We start from the raw sequence: 23,987 nt of genomic DNA on the forward strand, positions 1-23,987 counted from the left end.
GTGAACAAGGGAGACAAGGCCCCCGCTCTCCTGGAGAACCAGCCAAAGGACAGGGAGCCAACCAAGGTGGCAGGGAGAGCTCAGATGGATGGGATAACAGAAATGGGGTGGGTCAGGAAAAGCCACTCTGGGGAGGGGATCCTCTGGCTGAGAACTCAGGAACAGCAGGGGCTGGCTTTCTTGCACAGATCTGGTCTGGGCACAAAAGGATGAGCAGGGGAGGCGGTTGGCAGATGGACAGGAGAACTGCAAAGGCCCCGAGGTGGGAAAACTCCTGAGCTCTTCTGTGGGGCTCCGTGGGCTGAGGAGGGCAGGAGTGGGTCAGGAGCTTAGATAGGAAGTTCTGGCAGGTGTCCAGGGGAGGGAAGCAGAGGCTGGGGCCACATGGGCTGGGATGCAGGTGGTGACAGGCACCCAGGCTCAGTGCCTATCTGGATCTGAGACTCAGCAGAACTTGCTCATAAGTTGGGGGTGAGCTGAGAGAGGGGGTGGGAAGAGTCCCGGTAGTGATGAATTGAGAGGAAATTTGAGAGCATGGGGTTCAAGCACCTGGGTGTGAGTGGAGCCTAGGCAGGCAGAGGGGCCCAAGCAAGCAATGGGGAGAGGGGGTGCCCCAAGTCCCACCACACCCTGCTTTCTCTGTCTCCAGAAACTACATTTTATTATTACTATTATTTTTTAAGACAAAGTCTCGCTCTATTGCCCAGGCTGGCATGCAGTGGCACAATCTCGGCTCACTCCAACCTCCGCCTTCTGGATTCAAGCGATTCTCCTGCCTCAGCTTCCTGAGTAGCTGGGATTACAGGTGGCTGTCACCACGCCCAGCTAATTTTTGTATTTTTTAATAGAGATGAGGTTTCACCATATTGGCCAGGCTGGTCTCGAACTCCTGATTTAGGTGATCTGCCCGCCTTGGGAAACTGTACACTTTAGACTAAATATAATAAATAAATAAAAATCAGTCTGTAATTGTAAGCATCAAACAAAATATGCTGGTGGCATCGCCCCACTCCCATCCCACTCCCCTAATCCATCCCCACCATGAGACCACGTCCAGCAGCTCCAAAAATACAGATGCAGGAGTCCCGTGCGCCTGACTCTGCTCTCCTGGCTGTCCTGCCAGGCTGTCTGCTCTCCTGCCACCGAGCCCCATCCCCAATTCTGCATCACAAAACCTCCCAGAGCCAGGCTGGAGGTGGCTCCAGAACTCCTCCTTGTGGTTGGGGCAGGACCTGGCTGGCCATTCCCAGTTCCTTCCTGGAAACCTAGGATGGGTGGATGGGGATCCCCTGGGAGGATTTTTGCCTCCCTAGAGGTGTGTTCAGACGGCTTCTCCTGGCTGGGATGGAGAGAGGGGTAGGCCAGGAGGGCTGCCTGGTGGAGGCATGCTGGAGATGTAGCCAAGGCCTGTAAGGAGCCTGTAAGGGCTGGTTGGAGAAGCTGCAGCCCAAGGGAAAGTGGCTTGACAAATGGCAGAGGCTGCCAGGGCCTGTGGCTCTCCACACCCGTGTTCTACCGGCCCAATACTCCGTATCCCAGTTCTGCCCCCTCTCTGGCTAGTCACGCAGACATTTGTTGAACCACAAAATCTATAGGCATGTGAGAAACTTCCCTAATTTGATTTGGCCACCACGTATCTCTCACCGACGCTCCTTCCCTCTTCACGAGGAGTTCCTGTAAGGTCAGGCAGCAGTGGGCCCTCCTCGGCAGCTGGGTGGGACCTCAGGGCCTCAGCAAATGTCCTTCCCACTCTTTTTCACTCAAGTTCTTTAGGTTCTTATAAAAACAACATATAGTCAGGCACCGCTTAGTGACAGGGATACGTTCTGAGAAATATGTCATTAAGCAATTTTGCCATTGTGCAAACCCCACAGAGTGTGCTCACACAAACCTAGACAGTACAGGTACTGCACACCCAAGCTCTATGGTACAGCCCATTGCTCCTACAGTACAAACCTGCACAGCATGAGACTGTGTGGAATACTGCAGGCAATAATAACACGGTGGGAAGTATTCATGTATCTAAACATAGAGAAAAGGTACCATGAAAATACAATACTATAATAGGATCACTGTCACATATGCAATCTATTGACTTAAACGTCATGATGTGGCACATGACTGTACTATTTTCATAAGCTGCCTCCTTCCTGGAGGCCAGGTATAAGCATCCAGACACGTAAGAAGTACCCTTGCTAGTGCTAGGATAGAAGTTTCACAGGTTCACTGTCATCCAGCACCATTCCCTAGCACAACACCAGGAGGCAGCCATTCACATGGTAGTCTAAGTGCATGCGCCCCCACCAAGGCAGCCACTCTCACTGTAGTCTAAATCAATGGTGCCCTCTGGAGGCAACATGGTAGCTTATGTGAATGGTGCCCCTAGAGTTATGTGACACGAGGGCCTAGATGTTCTCGCATTCAAGCCTGTAGACAACCTTCAGGAAGGTCTTATTTTTCCATTTTCTGCAGAAGGAAACTGCTCAAGCAAGAAGGCCAGAGCTAGGATTTTATGCTTTGTCTGCTAGACTCTTAGTTCAGCGCTATTCCCCTTGGCAAAGCTCACAGGGCTGGGGAGCAAAACCTGAACTCCTCCAGCCTCTCAGGGCCTCCCACGCCCCCCACCAGTACCCCAGCAAGATAGGGTTCAGCACTAATTTTGGAAAACACGCTAAAAAATGACCTTGTTCCCAAGCACCATCATCATCTTAGCCATCCACATGTGAACTTGCAGAGCCAGAAAAGCTGCCAGACCCAGGGTGACTCCTGTCCCTTCCATACACAGAGCATCACAGTAACACCTGGTTTATCTAGAAATCACCCATCTGTCAACCTCATCCATCTAGAGTCCAAGGACACGCAAAACAATGATTGGGAAAGGCCAAACAGGTGAAGGTCCCCTATGAGCCAAACGACTGACCTTCGAGGGCCTTACTTGGGGCTTGCTGACTCTTACTTTGCATACATTTCTAGCAAGTGCAGTTCACTGCTTTATGATATGCGTAAATTAGAACAGGCAGTTAAAAAAGGATTGGGAGAGCTGACAGAGGCAGCCATGCTGACATCAGGAGGTGATGGCTGACAGCAAGAGAAGAAACAGGAAATGCCAGGACTCAGAAAGGTTAGCCTTTTGGGGAAAGGGTGAGCAACATCAACATAAAAGTCAACCGTGCAGGCACACAGAGTGAAAAGTGAAAAGTCAGTCTCCCTCCTGCCCCACACCTCTGTGTGCTGGGTCCTCTCCCACAAAGTGGCACCTGTGAGCAGTTTCATGTGTCCTCATGGGACAGTCTCCACCCATGTATCCATGTGCTGAGGACACCAGGACAACAAGCAGTCAATCCCGAATTTGCTCACAACCTCAAGTGGGGGCGGCCACAGGCTAAAGAAATCACAAAACCTCCCATTTACTTTGTAATTCGCTTAAGGATAGGAAGCCACCAGTAACAGCCCCCACTCAGCCAGACACAGTAATTACACCGTGAGCAACTGAGGCTCGGAAATACTGGGGGGTGGGGGTGGGGTGGGGGTGGGGGTGGGGGGGGATCTGAACATAGAAATGCCAAGTCCCTTGCCTGAAGCCCTGTAGCTGCTGAGTCATGTGGACCTGCTTGTCTTGGAGGCACCTGCTTCTCGGGCCATCCCTGCCTTCCACTGGGATGGTCAGACTCCAAGTGTCAGGGCTCAAAGGCTGGGGTGGCCACTCTCCTTACTGAGGCGGGTTTTGTTCATTACATGGTAATGCTTTGAGAATCCCAAAACCACCTGTGGGACTTCAGCCTCTGGCCCAGCTTTCACCCCAGGCATATTTGGACTCCCAGGCAGAACTTCCCCATCAAAGGTCACTTTTCCTGCTGCAGTTGGGTATAACAGCCTCACCACTGCTCAGGTAGCGGCCATGTGTGCCTCATGACCAGCTGTTACTGGGGACATGTTGGGGACCTGCTGACGACAAGTGGCTATACTTTTAGAAAACTCAAAACTCCACTTCAGTGCGGCTGGCATGGCTGCCCAGCAAGGGCTGCTGTGTCCTGGCTGCCTAAGCCTTTCCCACCCGGGAGGGGGTCCCATCAGCCACTCCCAGATCCACTGTGAGGCCCACTGCAGGCCCTTGTCTTCAGGCATGGGCCAGGACCAGCAAAGTCACCTCCTTTTGGAGCCATGTCTGGCTGCCTATGCAACTCATGGGTAGGGATCCATGGGAAAAGACAAAAAAATGGGAAGTCATCAAACCCTTTGAACAGATGGGCCCACTGCCAGGAGCTCTAGCCACACCCGCATCCTGCAGGGCCAGGGAAGGCCAAAGCAGGCTGCCCAGCCAGGCAGCTGTGTGAGGAAGGGCCTGAGGGTAAATTGTATGGGAGGCACTGCCCAGGGCAGGGTACATTCACATAGCAAAGGCTCTGACAGGTCCAGAAGCTGGGAAAGCCCTGAAACTGCTCCACTTATCCCAGGTACCACAAAATGCATTGCTAACTAACAGTGACACCAATCAACATGCCAGAAGCAAGCGTTCCTAAGGATGCCTTGTGGGTACCACTGGGGCAGGGGAGAGAGATGCAGTTGGTGAGGATACCACTGTTATCTAATGGGAAACAGAGGTCTGCCCACAGGGGAAGGCAGAGAATGCCCGCGGCTCTGAAACTGAATGCTAAAGGCTTTATTCTCCTGGGTTCCCCCTGTTATTCTTTGCTCATTGTCAGTCCACCCAACTGTAGCTGAGCAGGCTCTGGGCTGAAGTCTGACGTCAGAGCTGGGGGTGTGGGGACAGCCATGAGAAGGGCAGTGGTCTCACCTGCAGAGTGCAGCATGCCATCCTGCACTCAGCTGGCGAGCCTGGCGCAGGATGTGCTCCTGGCCAGCGTGGGGGACCAGAGTCTCTGCTGGACCCCATGGGGCATCGCTCAGGAGCACCCAGGACAGGGAGGACACCAACATCCCCAGTCAGTGGAGCAGAGGGGACACCTCCAGCAGAGGCCAGAACAGGATGCCAGGCACAGCGGAGCTTTGTTCTGATGTCTACCATCGATGGCTGTGCAGACGCTCCATGAATGACACTGTTGTGGTATTTTAAGAAGATTCTACAAATAGCACTAACTTGGAATGGGCCTCAGAGCCAGGCTCATGAATGCTCAAGTCGAAGGCGGGCCAGCCTGGGAGCTCCAGCCAGGACAATGGGGCCTCACAGCAGAGGCAGGGCAGGATGCTGGGTGACCCTGGCCTCTTCCGGGGCTCCACAGCCTCATTTCCCCCAGACTCGCTGGGCCCTCCCCGCACAGCCCCATCCTCCCCACTATCAGTGCCTTCCCAGAAGGTTATTGGAAAGGAGAGGCTCTCTGAATAAAGGGAGGGGGCCGTGACATCCTTTCAGTGCCTGCTACTCCGGATTTCCAGGGACTTCCAGGCTCTGAAGACGCCCGACGAGTCATGGAGGAGGGGGCACAGGAAGGAAGGATGTTCTCAGATTTTCATCAGAAATCACTTTATTAGGAGAAACTCAAAGACCTGTAGTCCCACAGTCAAGAAGTACTAACAGAACGCTTTCCAGACAGTCCATTCTGGATACTTGGAAGACAGCCGAGAGAAGAGAAAAGAATATGAATTTTGGAGTTAGTCAGCGGTGGGTTCAAACATAGCTTCACCAGCCACATCTAGGTGGCCTGGGGCAAGTTTTTTACCTCTTGGAGCCTTGATATTTTCATCTCTTTAAAACCAAGGGCATTGCACCCCCTCGTGGGGACAGCTGAGAACCCAGGGCACAGTAAGCCCTCAGCAAATGTTGGCCTCTCTTCCTCCCTGAGTGAGAGACCACTGATTTAGCGCATGAGCATGCTCCCCCCATAAAACAGTTCTGTGCTATGGCTGAAAAACACAGCAGGCATAGAAGGAACTCCTCTTGACCAAGTGAATCTGCAGACATCAGGGCAGGCAGCAGGAGCCTAGGTGGGACAACAGAGAGCACTGGGGCCTGCGGCAAAGTAGAGAGGCTTACATCTAAGCCATTTTGTCCTGTCTGGTACTTGGAAAATGTCTTGAGACAACAGAGGAAAGATCATTTAAGAAAGCGGTGCCTGACCCCACCCCTGGCACATTCTAAACCGGGCTGCAGCCATGGAGCGGCTATGCCCTCCAGCTGTCTCAGAGGTGGCATGGAAGGGCTCGGCTTCCTCCCTGCACCCTCATCCTTGTCTTGAGTAACTCTTGTATGTACTGTCTCCACCTCCACCATTTCAAAGGAAGGAAGGGATAGCACTGCTCTGTGAGTGCTATTAGTGGCCTTGCACAGTTTTGTGTGCAGAACTTGTGCTCAAGTCACACAGACTAAACTAAAATGAAGTGAGGCAGCCTTGCTCAGAGCCAAGAGCACAGGGATCCCCAGACTCAGGGGCTGTGGGTGGAGTCCTAGCTGGCCCGCTGACATGCTGTGTGGCCTTAGTCAAGTCATTTAGTCTCTTTGGACTAAAAAAAATCATCTGGAAAACGAGAAGGCTGAGCCAGGTGATCTCCATGGACCTCTCCTCCAACCCCTCCGAGGCTGTATGTTACATCTAAAAGTAAGCGTGATGCCATCATTAGCAAGAGGGGGTCAGGGTTTGAACAGCAGATGCCCTCCTTGACTCTTCCCTGGTGGCTCTTCACTGGAATAGACCTTGCTTGTTTTTCAAACTGGACTGGAGCAGGATAGAGAGTGGCTGTTTGCAGGCAGGTGACTCCATGCACGGCACGGCAGCCAGGACCTCACCAAGTTAGAAGGTGCTGGTGTCTACAAAGGACCTTGGTTGCCCTGGCCCTCATCAGGAAGATGGTGTGTGGTACTGGTGGACGCACATCCTGCACAAGTCCTGCTCTCGGTGCCTTCGTGGCACACGGCAGCCCTGAGATGCCACTCATCCAGCCAGCATGAGACTGCGGCCCAGAGAGCTCAGGCACATGCTCAGTGGCACAGCAACAGTCAGGATTTGAGCCCAGGGTGGCCTGACCCCAAGGCCATCCACGCTGCCCCTGATTCTGCACCCTCAACTCCCAAGGAGCTGCTGCTCCCTCCACACAAGCCATGTGCCCCAGAGGGTGATGCAGGCCTCTCTCCATCCGACTCTCCCTATTGGTAAACGGAGGAAGCAGAAACAACCTAATCTCAAATACCTCTCCTTGCTCCAAGGTTCAGGGACTCTCTGCTTCCAGAAGTTGTTGATGCAGACTGGGTGCTGCTGGAAATCCTCAACAATGGCTCCATAGGGCCCAGGACTCATCATAACAAAGTGGCCCGTAAGTCCCCAGAAGAGGACTGGAGCGTCCATGCTGGGCCAGGCATGAATGCACCAGATACTTGATAATGACATCATTGACTGTTCAAGTCATAATGACTGAACAAATCCCAGGGTGGGGTTGCCTGGTCCTGAATGGCCCTGGCCTGTAAGGGTCAGCACTGAACCAGCTTGTCAAGATGAGCACTGAGTTAAAAATCCTCTCTGCCGCTTCTGTGGGCTCGCAAGTGGATCTGACTGTGACAGGCTGAAGAACAGCAGTCCCTGGCCACCTCCCCCAATTAGCCCCCAGTCTCAACAACAGCCTGAGCAGACTTAGTGGGCAGGGAGGAGGCTGCTCCAGGGACAGAGCCCTACCTCAAGAGGAACTCCAGTGGTGAGCAGGCTCTCTGCATGACTGATTCTCAGAGAGGAACCTGGATAGGCTGAAGCCACAATGGGGAAGTTTGTATCTGACCTTTAACTTCTTCCAAACTGGATTGACTAGGGGATGTCCCAGGCCTTTTGTTGCCAGTTTCATTGGCAAATGGCATATGCTGCTTTTCTTATTGTCCTTTGGTGTTCTCCATTGCTATTTCTCAAAGTGCACACCGGCTTCTCAGTTGTGTAGTATTAACATGAAACAGATACAAGAGCGCAGGCTCTGGTGCCAGATAGCCTATGGGAATCCCAGCCGTGGGTGGCCTTAGGCAGGAAATTGCACCTCAACTTCCTCATCTCTAAAACAGGACAATTAATAAAGTCCACTTGAGGGCTAGCATGAGGATTAAATGAACTCTACATAGAAAGTGCTTAAAACAGGGCTTGACGCATAATGTTTATGTGTTAAAAATGCTTTTATTTCAACAAAACAATACTGGTCTCATCACTTTTTAGCATTTTAACCTAAGCCTCAAGCCAAATAATAATCATTTCCATTTTGGGACATTTTCTGTGTGCTAGCAATCTTACACACAGAGGCCAATTTAACTCTTCCCTTAACACAACCTAGTGAGACATCCCAATTTACAGACAAAGGTATCCCTCTTTGGCTCAGAGAAGCATCCCATCCAAAGGCTGCACAAACAGTAGATGGCAGAGCCAGAATTCAGAACCAGGTCAGCCCAGCTCCAAGCTTCCAGAGCTTCCAACATTTCACACTGCTTCCTTGAGACCAAGCCCTCGGGTACCTTAACCCACCTCCATGTCACCACTTAGCATTTAGATAAAGATTAGGTAAGGGGGACAAGGCCGCATCTAGAGAAGCCTTGAGAACTTGCTCATATACCTTGGTATGAATTCATTTCTCAAAGATTCTCATTCCTAGAGCACTGTAAAAATTTGATCTGTTTTGCAACTTCTTAAAAAAGCCCCTTTTACAGAACATTGCTTTTTCTCTCTTTCTCCCCCACCCACTCTTTTTTAATCCCCCGTGCTTCCACAGACACTGAGAGAGCATTGTCATATTTGATCTGACTCAGAGCTCACTCTGCAGGAAAAGATCTAATTCCAGGGCATTTGTCAAAAACAATCAGCAGCAATTCCTTAACATTACAGCTGCCTAAAGCTGTGATACCAATTGGGGCAAACAAGAGCTGGCCAAAACTTGCAGATCTGGGGAAGGAGATATCCACTGGGGGCTTTGAAAACCCATGATATACTCCTAGAGATCCAGAAAGCCATATGCCTGAGCAGCGCTATGCCATTGTGGAGGAAAGACGTGAGAGGGCCTCTGTCTCTCATCTCTGGCTGATTTTGAGTCCCTGCACAAGCAGGAAGGGAAGACTATGGCAGAGTCACAAACTTCCTAAGCAATGGAAGTGTGCGCCAACACACAAACATACATGTGCAAACACACTCTCCTCAAAGGGTAGAAGACTTATTGCTTCAAGACACTTAAGTATATTTCTGACAAATCATTGGCTGACCAATAAACTAACCAAGAGACTTGGGTGACTGCATACAACAGGGAACACAGATTTAATTCAGGAAATTCACTAAACAAAATAGCTACAACAGCAACCTGAGGAGGGAAGGTAAATCTGATTTGCAGAGTTGCCACATTATATTATTTACAATGTCTAGGTTTCAACAAAAGATTGTAAGATACCCAAGAAAAATAGGTAAGTATGGCCCATACACACACAAAATAGCAGTCCATATAAACTGTCCTTGACCTAGATGTTATACTTACTAGATAAAGTCTTCAAATCAGCTACTGTAAATATGTTCAAAGAACTAAAGGAAACTATGTCTATATAATAAAACATAGTGTGACAATGATGTCCCACCAATTACAGAATGTCAATAAAGAAATAAAAATTATAAAAAGAAACAAATATAAATTCTGGAATTTAAAAGTACAATAACTGAAATACATAAATCACTATTTGGGCTCTAACAGCAGATTTGAGCTTATAGAAGAAAAAAAATCAGTAAACTTGAAGATAGGTTAATTGAGAATAGCCAGTCTGAGGTCCAGAAACTAAAAAATAATGAAGAAAAATGAACAGAACCTCAGAAATTGATGGGACACCATAAAGTGCACCAAAATACACAAAATGAGAGTCCTAGAAGGAGAGGGGAGAGAAAAAAGGTAGAAAGAATATTTAAAGGAATGATGGTTAGAACTTCCCAAATTTGTTGAAAAAAAGAGATTTACACCTAGACACATCATAGTCAAGCTGTCCAAAGGCAAAGAATCTTGAAAGAAACAAGAGAAAATACAAGAGATTCTCATTAAAATTAACAGTTGACTTCTCATCAGAAACCATGGAAACCAGAAGGCAACAGAACAACATTTTCAAAATACTGAAAGAGAAAAAAATGACAGTCAACCAAGAATTCTATATCCAGCAAAACCATCATTCATAAATGGAGAAGACATTCTCAGAGAACTAAAAACCAAGAATATTCAGTCCTTCGTCCTAGCTGATCAGACCTACAAGAAATCCTAAAGGGACTCCTTCAGGAAAAATAAAAGGACATTAGATGTTCATTGAAATCCACATTAAGAAATGAAGAGCACATATATAGTTAAAAATAAAAGACAAAATAAATGTATTTTTATAGCTCTTCTATTTAAAAGATAACTGCACAAAGCAGTACTTACAAAACTCCAGTAATTCATAAAGATATAGTTAGTATGGCAATAATGGCACCAACGAGTCAGGCAGCAGGGAGAACAAAGTTATATTGGAGCAAAGTTTCTGTAAACCACTGAAGTATTAATCTGAACTATATTGTTTTAAATTAAGAGGCTAATTGTAATCCCCAGAATAACCACTAATAAAATAACTAAAAGAATACCATGAAGAAACAATAAGAGAATTATATTGGTATGCTGGAAAATTTCTATCTAATACAAAAAGAAAGCAGTAATGGAGAAATAGAACAAAAAAGATATAACATGTATAGAAAACAAATTCCAAAGTGGCTAACATAAATCTGTATTATCAGTAATTACATTAAATATAAATGGAATAAATACTCCAACAAAAAGGCAAAGATTGGCCAATAAATTTTTTAAATAATCAAACCATTACTGCTTATGAGAGACACATTACATTAAAAAACACAAGTAGGTTGAAAGTAAAATGACGAGAAAAGATATACCATAAAGACAATACCCAAAAGAGATCTAGAGTGGGTATACAAATATCAGACAAAATTGACTTTAAAACAAAAATGTTACTGGATACAAAGAGGATGAACATTTTATAATGATAAAAGGGTAGTTGCAGGAGGAAGATAAAACAATTATAAACATATATGCCCCTATAAACAGAACCCCATAATTCACATGACAAAAATAAACAGAACGCAGGAGATTTTAATAATTGTTGGAGACTTTGATATCCTACTTTCAAAAATAAAACTAGGCAGAACATCAACAAGGAAACAGAAGACTTGAATAACATAAGGAATCAAGCAGACCTAACATACAACTGTAGAATGCTCCACCTAATAACAGCAGCATGCACATTCTTCTCAAATGCACACAGAACATATTTGAGGATAGACCATTTACTAAATCATAAAGTAAGCCTTAAAAATTTTAAAGGATTAACCAAAACAAAGTTTGAAAGTATATTCACTGACTACCAAGGAATGAAATTAGAAATCAATAAAAAAGGACATTTGAGAAATTCACAAATATGTGGAAACTGAACAACTCCCTTCTAAATACTCAAGAAGCTGATCATAGTGGCATCTGTGCTAGCATCTTTGGGTATTTAGGGGTGAGTTGGGACGTGTAGTCCCAACCATTCAAAAGGCTGAGGCAGGAAGATCGCTTGAGCCCAGGAGTTAGACGCAGCAGTGAGCTATGATTGTGCCACTGCATTCCAGCCTCAGTGACACAGCAAGACCTTAACTCAAAAAAAAACAAAACAAAAAACAAAAAAACTAGAAAAACAATAGGAAAAATTTAAAAATCTATAAAAACAAAAGTTGGTTCTTTGAAAAAATTACCAAGTTTGACAAACTTTAGCTAGACTGACCAAGAAAAAAATAAAATTATTAAAATCAGGAATGACATAGGGAACATCACTACCAAACTTACAGAATAAAAAAGATTGTAAGGGATAATATGAAAAAGAGTTTGTGGCCAGGTACAGTGGCTCATGCCTGTAATCCCAGCACTTTGGGAGGCCAAGGCAGGAGGACTGCTTGAGGTTAAGAGTTTGAGACGAGCTTGGGCAACACAATGAGACCCCATCTCTAAACTTTTTTTCATTAAAAATTAGCCAGGTGTGGTGGTATGTGCTTGACTCCCACCTACTTGGGAGGCTGAGGTAGGAGGATTGCTGGAGCCCAGAGGTTTGAAGCTGCAGTGAGCCATGATTGTACCACTGGACTCCAGCCTGGATGACAGAGCAAGACCCTGTCTCAAAAATAAATAAATAAATAAATAAACAAAACCTATAACTGTTTGCCAACAAATTAGATGACTTAGATAAAGGAGACAAATTCCTAGAAAGGCACAAACTACCAAAACCAACTCAAAAAGAAATTTAAAATTTGTATTACTGAACATTTTAAGAATTAATACCAAATGTTCACAAACTCTTCCAAGAAACAGAAGAAAGGGAATAGTTCTCAATTCTTCCTATGGAGCCAATAGTCCTCCGATATCAAAAACCAAGACATCACAAGAAAACTACAGACCAATATCTCTTATAAATACAGATAAAAAATCCTCAAGAAAAACTAGCAAAATAGAATCCAAATCTACTGATGAATGGATAAACAAAATGTGGCATATTCATACTATGGAATATTACTCAGCCTTAAAAAGGAATGAAGTAGCCATACATAGATGAACCTTGAAAACATTATGCTAAGTGAAAGAAGTCAATCACAAAAATACAATATATTTATTGTATGAAAACAGTTTCATGGTTGCCTAGGCTGCAGGGCTGGGGACGAGGGGACACGGGGAGGGTTGTTTCTGGAATGAGACATGACTACCAACAGGCATGGGGTTTCTTTCCGGGGTGATGACAATGTTCTAAAATTAGATTTTGGTGATAGTTGCATAACTCTGTGACTACATTAAAAACTGCTGAATTATATAAATTCAAATTCAATTCAATTCAATTAATTTCTATAATACATGAAATACACCTCAATACAGCTGTTTAAAAGAGTCCAGTGATAGGATGTTTAGAAGAGCCGGCAAAAGACAACTTAGGCAGGATAAGCATTAGCTACATAGCTGGCTGGGGGTGGGCGATAGGGAGAGATATTTTAGGGGTTCATTTCATTGAGGTGTTCCCCATTTTGGTTCCAGGATTCCTGGGGACCAAGGAGGGTCCCCTACAGGTACAAGGACCACAGAGTAACAAGATGAGAAAACACACCTCCAAGCCTCTTCTTCCTCTTCCCTTCGGGAGTTCAGACCTCTGAAGCTCTCTAGGAGACTTGCTGCCCTAAGGGCCGAGGTCAGGGACTTAGGGCTTCCTCAGGATTGGTTCCTCTCTGGAGCCATGAGAGCCAACCCCCTAACCCTGGAGGCCAGCAGCGTTGACCCCGGCTATGTGCTGTCGAGCCCCCACCCTCCAGCTGAAAGGCCACAGGACTCCTCTCCAAGCAGGTAGGAGGGGGTGCCGGGACTTCTCGTGTCCTGTTGCTAGGCACACCAGCAGTTCTGGGTTTCCTCAGAGAATCATCAAAGTTCAAGCCACCAGTGACCTAGAGATCATCGAGTTACGCTTGTTTCCCTCTTTCCAGATAAAGAAACTAAAGAAACTGAGGTTCTGAGTGGCAGGGAGCTGGGACGACTGCTGGCATTTCTGACAGTCTTGAGGCCTGCGTGCCTATCCCCATTGCAGGTGGGAGGGCAGAGGCTCAGAGGTGTGAGGGGGAGGCCTGGCTAGGAAATGAAACCAAATTTCTCTGCTGGATGCTGGTTCCCTTTTTGAAAAACCCCCAGGGCTGCTGTGCAGGACACCGAGTGGAGAAGAAGTCACAAAGAGCGGCCCTTCTCAGAAATCGAGTGGAGCCAGAAGCCTCAAGGTTCAGTCTCCTGAGCAAGGCCCGCAGGACGGCAAGGCTCGACCACATCCCAGCATGTGGTTCCAGGCCTCAGATCTGTCCACGTCAGCCCACCACTGCCTTCAAAGTCAAGTCAGACATGAGGGCTGCCACCTCGCCTGGCCTCTGCCAGCCTTCCCAGCAGCAAGCATAAGACAGAGTCTGCCCTGGCCTTCAGGGAGCTTCTGGCTCACTTAGTGAGGGAACAGATTGTGCAAAGTAATGACACATGTATATTTACACATTATGGTAAGTGTTTTAAAGGAAAAATACATAATGGCAAGTGAGCAAACAACAGGGGTCAGAAAAGGCCTCTCAGGAAATAGTGACACTTAGGCCCAGACAAACAAGGAGCAAGGTGACTTCAGGCAGAGAGAAATGAGGGAAGCAAAAGCAGGCCACGTGTGAGAGGAGGATGGGGATGTGGGGAGCTGGAGACCACATGGCCAGCAGCGTATGGCACTGAGAATCAACTGTCACTGCCACTGGAACCACTGAGCATGCAGTGAGCAAGTAGGGAGCAGTGAGACCCCGCAGGTGACCTGCACAGGCCACACTGGCTACTGGAGAAGGGACTGGAGTTGAGGAGGGTCCATGTGGGAGGCCTTGTTGGGAGAGGCCACTGCAGCAGATGGGGCTGCAGGTGCTGGCATAGCATAGAGACAGCAGAAAGATTCAAGTGCACTTTGGAAATAGAACTGGCAGGATGTGGGGATGGCAAATTGGAGGAAAAGGATGAAATTGAGAATTCAGTTTTAGCCCGATTAGCTTTGGCCAATTTCTAGCCCAGGAGACATCCAATGGAGGTGTCCAGGGGTCAGAGGCCTGAGCCAGGAAAGTGACTAAAGATTCTGATGAGTTTGCCAGCCAGAGGGCCGAGCAAGCAAGCAAGAAGCATCAGAATGTGCAGGCCCCTAGGGACAGGAGCAGAGACGGAATGGCAGAGCAGGAGGCAGCCACTGTGCTGGCCTGAGGACTGTGGCTCCCCGAATGCTGCAGCAGAACAGCAGAACCGGTCCTATCACCCAGTCAGTAACAGCCATGCCTCCTGACCTCTCCCTCCAAGACAGAGCAGGGCACTCTGTCCCCTCATCTTGCACCAGACCAGCAACAGCATTCCTGCCCAGGTCCACTGGCCTCTGTACTCTGGCTGCTGGGCACCCCAGTGAGCCCAAGCCTGGCAGAGCCTATACTCTGTCCACCAGCAAAGGGGCACAGGGTCTGCAGGAACCCATGCCCAGAGCTCATCTATTACAATGCAGTGATAAACACAGTGGACTGCCACTGGGATCTGCTGGGTGTTGGGTAACCCAACAATAGGCTGGGGCCAGCCAGCAGGTGAGCTCAATGGTTTCCTGTCTCTGCCCACACTCTGCTCTTGCTACTGTTCACAAGTACAGATTCTGTGCTAGTGTGGTGCCAGGCCACATAGGTGACAAAGTGATCCCCAGCGGCAGACCCAGGCTCACCGCACCAAAGGGAATGAAATGAACTGGGCCCGAGGGCTGGGGCTCAGAGATGGATTCGGGCACAGGCCACCTGCCCAGGCTCGACTGCCCTCAGGCCCATTTGATGGCATCTTGAGAGGAAGTGGTGTGGTGCGGAAACCAGAGAGGTGGTCTGGGGAGCCTGGGAGGGGGAGGGGGGAACACAGTGCCAGCAAGGCTGGGAAGCTGAGCCTTTTCTGCAGGCAGTCTGGGGCCAAGGTGGGGTTTGAGGAGGATCATAGTGTCTCCAGAGCTGTGGGTGGATGCTGGCTTGGGCAGTGGACTAGAAGGGGCAAGGGTGAACTCAGGATGGCCAGCCAGGAAGCAGTGCCATCAAGGCGATAAGTCGAGGGAATGCACAGGTGTTGCGGTGGCCTCCAGGGCAGGAGCACAGGAGCCATCAGCCATTGGTTGTGAGAAATGAAGAAGAGGGCAGGGTCGAGAGCCAGGAAAGCAGAAGAGGCAGTGGGAGTGCGGGACTGCACTGGAGTCTAATGAGGGGCTCTGGATCTGCAGGCCGCAGACAGGCACTGCAGAGCTTGGAGAGGGAATCTCGGAGGCATTTGTTTAGAGGCAATCACAGTCATCAGGGCCTTGAGGGAGACAGCTCAGAAGGTGAACAAACTTATAGCCAAAAGCCAGCAGGGCAGGGCTGCCTTCAGCCCTGGTTCTGCTGTTCTGCTGCAGCATTCAGGGAGCCACAGTCCTCAGGCAGCCCTCAGCAGCCCAGGAGGGGCCTAAGGGGAGCAGGCCCGCAGGTGCTCAGAGCGTCAGAACTGGTCATCTGGTCCAGTGCAGATGATCTCCTTCAAGGCAGAGCCTGACAGGGGGGCCAGGATGAGTGGGGAGGAGGACAAAGGGGATTCAGGGCTGGGCACACTGTTCCCTGGTGCTGGGAAAGGAGGGGAGGAACAATGGGCAGGGCTTATGGAGCATAGACAGGGACAAGAAATTGGTCTTGTTGGTTTTGTTTTTGAATTTTTGGTTGAGCAACTCAGGCAGGTTTATGGGCTGACAGGAGTTGACGGGAGGGAGGGTGAGGATGTCGGGAAGAGCATGGGACCTGGTCATGGGCAAAACCCCAGAAGGCAAGGAAGAGCTGCTGCTGCTGAGAGCAGCAGGAAGGGTGAGGGGCGAAGAGCTCCAAAGGCAGCTGGAGATGAAGCGGTGGCAGAGAATGAGCACGTGTCAGGATCTAAGGGCCTACCAGTCCGCTCCTGCCCCTCGCTGCCCTGGAACAAAGCTGACTCCATGCTGTGCTCCAGTACCACCTTCTTCCTCCAAATTTCCACCTTGGGTAACAATGCAAAGCTGAAGAAAATGAAATTTGCCACCAAACAGACCCATCACAGAGCTCTAAATACAGATGCACCTGGAAACATGCCCCAGAAACAATACCCTCGGAGTTCAGACAAGTACATGAGCCCTCTGCTTTTAGAGGAGGCTTATCCTCTACAAATCAGATCCTGCTCACTGACCTTTCAGCTTTTTGGGAGCACCTGGAACCCAGGATTTCTCTATTTGTGAAAACCTGTCTTGCATATGATATTAAGTGGGATTAATGTCACAGCATATCACACCCTCCCCTCCCCGAAAAAGGCACGCAACAATCCCTTCCCGGACCCACTGTGCCCACCTACAGCTTTGCAGCCAGCAGGAGAGCAAGGGGCTCCTGGATAAAGCCCAGGATTTGGGTTTTAAAGGCGTGATGATGACACCTACTAATGTGGCTCTGGCTCTTGATATATTTTTGCTGCTCTCTTCATGAGATTATAGAATATTTCAGCTTTTCTGCTTTATCAAGTAGATTTTTACACAGGGACAAACATGCTAAAATGTTCTGTTGTAAGAGTTTGATTCATCCAAGAATGAAATCAATAAGAACAACTGTTGTCTTAGCTGTTGCTTTAATTGAAATGATATCAATGATTAATGGACTCTCTTTCAAGCTTTTCTTAAAAAAATGCACATACACATCTCTAGGCTAGAGAGTCAGATAGCTCCTTAGGTGGGTGGCAAGAGCTAAACACACACATGGATACATACACAGACATACTGTGTTACTGCTATTACAACCGAACAGTTTAATGTCCAAAGCAGCATTTCTCAAAGTGTGTCCACACATATGTGTGCCATGAAATGCTCTATGAAAAGAAGGTTCCCTAGGGAAAGGTGTGGAGACCATACCTCCAATCCACCTGACTTAGCAGGCACAACTGTGCCAGTGTGGCAAAGGCTCTGTTTGCTGTGAAAAATCTTCCAAACTTTCATAATTCCTTATGTCTAAGATTATTTGACCAAATAACCCTTCCCGTGTTTATTGCAGAACTAATTGTGAACAATGGTTCAGACTGTCCGCCACCCAGCCAGACTGGCCACATGGGTTCAAATTTGTTAAATGAGCCTGCAGCATTTAAACCCTTGGAGACTTTGTACACTAAGACATCAAACATCTGTCTTCCTTGAACCTCAGACTCTCCAACAATTGCATGGGTTCTCTCCTCCCTGCCAGACAGTGGCTGGTCATCCACTCTGGCACCACAGCGCTCCCCACCCACTTGGCCAGCTTGGCTAACTTCCATGGGCTGCAGAACCTTGTAGGCACTTCAGACTCAGTGCCTACTCCCAGGCTGCTGTGGCCAGCCATCTCTCGGGTAGGTGGGAGGGTAGGGCCCAGCTGGGGAACACTCCCAGACCAGGCTTTTTCCTTACCTGGACTGGTGAAGCCAGCAGCTGGCCTTGGGGGTCCACAGCCCCAGAGGACAGACCTAAGCAAGAGGAGGTGCCCCTGGCTCTCTTCTGAGGCTGCTTAATGAGTCTATGTCCTCTCTAACCAAGACTTTGTAAATCCACCCTTGCTTTTGGGACACTCTTTACCATGTTTACTGAAGAGGGGTCAGGAGAGACTAAAGCTGCTCGTCCAGGCCCTGGCGGGGGTGAAATCCTGGGCTCTGACCTGCCCTCGGGGAGCATGCAGCAAGACCTTGCCCTCTAAACCCTACTGCAGCCCTAGCTATTGTCATAGTGAAGACACCACACACAGGGCTCTCGGCCCCTGCTTCCAAGAATGAAGCCTCATGTGCAAAATTCTTTTTCATTCTTTCTACAATCAGAAGCTGAGGAAACTGTTGCTCTGGGACAATGAGAACCTTGCAACTACAGCACTCACATTTTTCACTTGGTTTTGGTTGCAAAGAGGCTCAACCACAGATCATACCTCATAGCCAGATTAACTGGGCTCCATTTTCCCTTGACCTCTCTACGTCCTGTGTAAATGTGGGGTCCTGTTTAGGTTTTTAAATAGTTAAGTATTATATATGTTATAAGCTACTTCAAACCCTTTGTGAAACCAGCCTGTACATTGATGGCACCATTCTCACCTGGACAAGGTCGAAGGCTGCCTGACCTTTTCTGTATCTGGATGCAGAATACACTTTTCGGAGGAAGGAAGACCTAGTGCTCATTCTGGCAGAGCCTGCCTTACCCTATATGGTTTACAGGCAAGGCTTCCCAGACTCACCTGGCCATAGGAGTCACTTGGGGAACTCCTTAAACACACAGTTTCCCAAGGCCTTCCCCAGAGCCTATCCAGCAGGCCAGGGTGGGGCCTGGGAATCTGCATGCTTAATAAGCGCGGCAGGTGAGTGTTAGGGTCAGGTGAGTTTAGGGAGCGCTGCAGTAAAGGGATGCACCACTATGTTCCCAACGATCAACAGGGATCATTTCAGTCAGTCAAGGGTTAAGTCGGCCGGGCCCCAGCCCCCGGGAGGCCGGACCTCCGGCGGCCGCCAACGTCCTAAGCGTGTTTCTGGGCTTTGGGCCCTCTCCAAGACTGCTGCATTCCTCAAGCAGCTCTGCTCGCAGGTTCCGCCGCGAGTTTTGGAAAACTCTGAGTCAGGGCCCCACCGTCCAAGTTTGTGACAGAGGCGGGCGAGAATGAATGGTCCCTCTCCCGGCAGTTAAGCCGCAGGGGCGGCGCAGGGCGCGCGCCGGGCTCGCGGTGCAGAGACCTGCGAGCGGGTCTGGGCGCCGGGGGTTCCTCCGTCCCGGCCGTGGACTTGGCGGACCTGCAGCCGGCGCCGCGGCCAGCCCCGGGCCCTGGAGGGCGGACCCTCCCCTCCGCTCTACCCACTCCCGCCCAGGGGCCGGACCCCACCCCCACTCCCACATGGGGACCGAGGAGCCCCAGGATGCGCCCCCGCGCCCCGAGTGAAGGGGAGCCTCCCCTTCCAAAGTTAGGAGACTCAGAGGAGCAGCAGCCGCACCTGAGCCCTTTCCAAAGCTGAGGCAGGTGCGGGCGGCCCTGGACACCCCGTGGCGAGTCCCCGAGGCGGGGCTGGCAGCCTCTGGCGGCGGCCGCAGGGAGCGGGGCGCACGTGCGCGCCGGAGTTACCTTTGGGCGCTCGCAGGTGTCCCCTCCAGTCCTTGCAGCAGCACAGCCCCATGGCAGCCGCCCGCGGCCCCGCCGCTCGGCTCCTCTCCCCGCCTGCCGCCTGCGCCCCGGGGCGGCGCGGCCGAGGTCCGGCCCACGGGCAGTGCCCAGCTGGGCGCAGGGTGCGCGGGACCGCCGGCCCGCGGCTCCCGGGCCCTCACACTCCACCGCGGCCCCGCGCAGCGGGCATGCCGGCCTCCGGGCAGACCCTGCTAATCAATAGGAGAACGCGCAGATCGCGACCGCCGCGCCACTGCCCGCTTTTATCTCCGCGCGCCGGGGCGGCCCCGCGCTGCTCCCTGCCCTCGCCGGCGCCCTCCCCACGGCCCGTTACTCTCCCGGGGTGCCGGGCCGCGCGCTCTCCCAGGAGCCGCCAGGGGGCGCCACGGAGCCGGGGCTGCCTCCGCCTCCCTGGGAGCCAAGCAGGGGTGGGGGGCCACACCGGCCTGGCCTCCCCGCGCAGAATGGGAAGAAGGGGCGCCCTCGCTGTGCAAGGGAGACGCCCCCAACCCCACCAGCATCCTCTGGGCAGTCATCTCAAGGGTGACTTTGTCGGGGGTGTTCAGGACCACCGAGCTCTCAGTTTCCCAGCTCACCTGTACTGTGCAGTAGTAGGAAGAGGGAGTGTTTGCCCAGGCTACCCTCAAACCTGGCGGGCTACTTATGAGCTGTGTGACTTTGGATAAGTCATCTCCCCTCTGAGACTGTTTCCTCACCTGAAAAGTGAGGAAAATGATACCGGTTCAGATGCTACTTAGCACAAATTAAGAATTAAGTTATTCAAACTCTCTCTGTGCCCAGTTTCCCCACCTATAAAACAGAGAAGATAACAGAAACTGCTTCACCGGATGGTTGTGTCAATTAAATGAGTTGATATATACAAGGACTTAGAACCCAAGTGGCCTGTAGGTAAGTGTTTTGCAAGTGTGAGCTATCATCATCATCAAGTCTTGGAGAGGATTTGGGCACTTTTTCATGAGAGTGTGTTCGGTGCAATCACCTTGGAAGGTAACATGGAAGCTGCTTTATTAAAACTAAAAATGCTGCTGCCTTGGGAGCAAGCTCATTTCTTAGTATGCACCCCATGGAAATGTGTCCCCACATGCCCAGGAAAGTCTATGGAAGGCTATTCATGGCAGCCTTGCTTGTGATTGCAAAAAGTTGGAACCACCAAAATGTTCATCAGTAAAAGAATCATCGGCCGGGCATGGTGGCTCGTGCTTGCAATCCCAGTACTTTAGGAGGCCAAAGTAGGTGGATCACTTGAGCCCAGGAGTTTGAGACCTGCCTGGGCAACATGGCAAAACCCCTTCTCTACTAAAAATACAAAAATTAGCCATGCATGGTAGCGCACACCTGTAATTGCAGCTACTTGGGAGGCTGAGGCATGATAATCACTTGAACTCGGGAGACAGAGGTTGCAGTGAGCCGAGATTCGGCCACTGCACTCCAGCCTGGGTGACAGAGCGAGATTCTGTCTCAAAACAAACAAACAAATGAAAGAATTATCAAGTACACTGGAATTTTCATAAGATGGTATATGATATAAAAGGAGAGTGCTATGGCTGAATGTTTGAGATTTACGGATTCATGGCACTTATGTAAGACACATACCCATACTCACAAAATATTACTATAGTGTTCACTCTGTACCATGCTCTGTTCTAGGCCCTTGGGCTTAGAAAAATATATGGGAGGAAAACAGGAAACCAAGAGTGGTTCCCTTTGGGGAGATGGTGGAAGAAGAATGGAGTAAAGTGGGTGTCAAGAGACTTTGGCTTTTTTATAATGGCCTCATTCTGTAAAAGGAAAGCATAATCAGGTATTATTGTGTAATTAAAGTAAATAATCAATTTACTTTGATTGAGATAATTATATTTTTAGGTGTTTGGCACAGAGTAGGCTTCTTCATGTAAGGTTCTTTGTCACCCCCCAGTTCCTAGGATCTGTTCCTAACCCTGAAGCAGGGCTGTGGTCCAGCTCTGATGGCCTTGACTTGACTGGAATTTTCTCCCTCCCTCCCTACCACAATTCCATTTGGGGAGAACAGAGGTGGTCTCAGAGGAGAATCTCAGCAAGGGCAGGCTGGAAAGCAGAGGCTGCCCAAGGCACGGAGCAGAAGAGTTAAATAAATGTGGGGGCAGGAAAGAATGACTTAGAGCAGGGAAGAGGTTTTCCCAGGAGTTAAGTCTTCATTCAAAGGAGAGATTAACAAGAGCAGGGCAGATTTCTGCCTCCCTCCCTCTCCTTTAACTCCTCAGAAAGACCAGGGTGAGGCTTCGGGGAGAGAGAAGGGTTTTCCTGCGTTAGATCCGGAAAGAAAGATGTTTTCACTTCATGACACATAGGTGGGGGTTACAAAGAGAGAGTAACTGAGAAAAAACAGAGAGACCTGACTTCTGGTTGCTGCCAAGTCATTTTAAACAGTTTTAGCACCAGGCAAGATCACTTAGTCACAGCGGGCTTAATGAGGCCCCAGGAATTCCAAGCTAGAGCTCCCTGCATTCAGGGAGAGCATCTGCGGGGAGTGAGCCCCTCGGGTGATTGTCCAACGGCCAAGTCCTACATTTGGAAAGCAAGATTTAAAAGAAAACATCACAGCGGCCATTGTGGGCCGCTTGTTTATCTTTCTGAGAGGAAGTAGCAAAGCAGGATCGTTTCAAATGAGCCTATTATAAAGGGTCAACGTCCCCATTGAACCGTTTAAATATATTTTGGGATACTCGACTTTTCAAAGCGGCTTTAAATATCAACTCCCAAGGCAGTTCAGCAGACAAATAGGAAGGCAGGGGCTTCTTGTTTTATTGCCTTTGGTTTCACACACTTTAATTCCTAATTACACATTGTCTTTTTATAGTTTTTTAGTTGTGTGTCCTTCCTCAAGGGGGAAGGAAAATAACATTCACTATGTGTTTCCCACCATGTGCCAGGCAACTCACAAAGGTTATCTCAGTTAACCACAGGACAACCGCATGAAGCAGATGCCATGAGATTCAATTTACAAAGGAAGAAACTAATGTTCAGAAAGGTGAAGAGACTTGCCCAAGACCAATGAGGTAGTAAGTGGCAGAGCCAAGATGGATGGGTGGATGAATGGATGGGTGCATGGATGGATGGATGGGCAGATGGATGGGTAAATGGATGGATGGATGGGTGGAAGGATGGATGGATGGAGTAATGGATGTTTGGATGGAGGTGTAGGTAGGTGAATAGATGGATGGATGGGTGGATGGTTGGTTGAATGGAGGTGTGGATGGGTGAATACATGAATGGATGGGTGGATGGATCGTTGATTGGATGTAGGTGTGGATAGATGAATAGATGAATGGATGGGTGGATGGATGGTTGCATGGAGGTGTGGATAGGTGAATAGATGGATGGATGGGTGGATGGATGGTTGGTTGGATGGAGGTGTGGATAGGTCAACAGAATGATGGATGGGTGGAGGGATGGTTGAATGGATGTGTTCCATAGGTGAACAGAAGGAAGGATGATGGATGGTTTAATGGTTAAATAAACAGAAGAATGGGTAGTTTTCCCTAGTTAGGCCTAAAGTCATGGGCTGCGACTGGCAAAGCACCCACTTAGCATAGAATTTGTCTGAAAAATCAAATTTTCTGAACATAGCTCTGCCACCCAAATTGATGATGACCCCAAACTAACTAGAATTTAGCCAAAACATCAGGATCACATATGCTGCAAGGCTCTAGCTGTGCTCAAGCCGCCTTGCTCCAGAAGAAGGGCCAGAGGTGGGAGCCTCTAGGACATGTTTCCCAGCAGGAAGGCCAGCCTCCAGCCCACCACCAGGCACAGGGCAGAAGAGATAGAACCAGGGGGTGGATATCCAGTGGGCACAATGGGCTCTGGGAGGAGGCTGGACACCAGCTTTGAGGACAAAGTTTCTATGGGATAGAGGCTGCCCCATTCATCCAGAGCTCTACTTCCTGCCACTTTACTCCATTTCTCTGGGAGACCCACAGTTGGGTGGTGAGAATGTCAAGCTGTTTCTAGGGGGTGCTGCTGCTGCTGGGATCCTGAAGCCTGTGCAGCCTGAGCCCCTGGTCCCAGATATGCCCCAGGTCATTCAAGGATTTTCTTAGGAGACTCAGGACCTGCCCTCCATAGTTCCAATGCAGGAGTCTGGATTGCTCCTCCCCAGAATATCCAAGGCACCCTCACAGCACTATCTCAGGTGTGAGCTCAGCCCTGGGTAGCTCAGAGGAAGGGAATAAATGGGAATGTACCATCTTAGCCACAAGCATAGCTTAGGGAGCCTATAATGATCAT

The 23,987-nt window shown here is 49.4% G+C and overlaps 1 protein-coding gene and 1 long non-coding RNA gene across 28 annotated transcripts in view, besides 5 other annotated features; both read right to left on the reverse strand.

The window, feature by feature from the left end:
• ARHGAP22 (Rho GTPase activating protein 22) overlaps positions 1-23,987 on the reverse strand; it is a 226,435-nt gene that overhangs the window by 74,561 nt on the left and 127,887 nt on the right. For 3 of the 27 annotated variants that reach the window (XM_011540011.3, XM_047425589.1, XM_005270014.4), the window contains exon 1: positions 19,662-19,938. The exons of the other annotated variants lie outside the window; for them this stretch is intronic. In XM_011540011.3, coding sequence (XP_011538313.1) covers positions 19,662-19,713 — 52 coding nt within the window. In that variant the 5' untranslated portion in view covers positions 19,714-19,938. Of the gene's footprint in view, positions 1-19,661; positions 19,939-23,987 lie in introns of those variants that run through there. 27 annotated transcript variants of the gene reach the window in all.
• Positions 3,579-4,564: an enhancer, noted in NCBI's record as "H3K4me1 hESC enhancer chr10:49716013-49716998 (GRCh37/hg19 assembly coordinates)". NCBI's record gives its function as "activates a minimal SCP1, AML or CMV promoter by ChIP-STARR-seq in naive H9 embryonic stem cells {active_cell/tissue: H9 hESC(naive)}" and the evidence as "EXISTENCE:reporter gene assay evidence [ECO:0000049][PMID:30033119]".
• Positions 5,461-7,198, reverse strand: ARHGAP22-IT1 (ARHGAP22 intronic transcript 1). Its single transcript, NR_146782.1, has 2 exons — positions 7,144-7,198; positions 5,461-6,548 (listed from the first exon to the last, which is right to left on the reverse strand). It is a non-coding gene; the product is annotated as an ARHGAP22 intronic transcript 1 (long non-coding RNA).
• Positions 13,039-13,672: an enhancer, noted in NCBI's record as "H3K4me1 hESC enhancer chr10:49725473-49726106 (GRCh37/hg19 assembly coordinates)". NCBI's record gives its function as "activates a minimal SCP1, AML or CMV promoter by ChIP-STARR-seq in primed H9 embryonic stem cells {active_cell/tissue: H9 hESC(primed)}" and the evidence as "EXISTENCE:reporter gene assay evidence [ECO:0000049][PMID:30033119]".
• Positions 14,787-15,376: an enhancer, noted in NCBI's record as "H3K4me1 hESC enhancer chr10:49727221-49727810 (GRCh37/hg19 assembly coordinates)". NCBI's record gives its function as "activates a minimal SCP1, AML or CMV promoter by ChIP-STARR-seq in naive H9 embryonic stem cells {active_cell/tissue: H9 hESC(naive)}" and the evidence as "EXISTENCE:reporter gene assay evidence [ECO:0000049][PMID:30033119]".
• Positions 15,377-15,963: an enhancer, noted in NCBI's record as "H3K4me1 hESC enhancer chr10:49727811-49728398 (GRCh37/hg19 assembly coordinates)". NCBI's record gives its function as "activates a minimal SCP1, AML or CMV promoter by ChIP-STARR-seq in naive H9 embryonic stem cells {active_cell/tissue: H9 hESC(naive)}" and the evidence as "EXISTENCE:reporter gene assay evidence [ECO:0000049][PMID:30033119]".
• Positions 20,005-20,084: a silencer, noted in NCBI's record as "silent region_2356". NCBI's record gives its function as "represses an Ori minimal core promoter by ATAC-STARR-seq in GM12878 lymphoblastoid cells {active_cell/tissue: GM12878}" and the evidence as "EXISTENCE:reporter gene assay evidence [ECO:0000049][PMID:35858748]".

This window comes from Homo sapiens, chromosome 10 (assembly GCF_000001405.40).
Source record: "Homo sapiens chromosome 10, GRCh38.p14 Primary Assembly".
NCBI classification, from domain to species: Eukaryota; Metazoa; Chordata; class Mammalia; order Primates; family Hominidae; genus Homo; species Homo sapiens.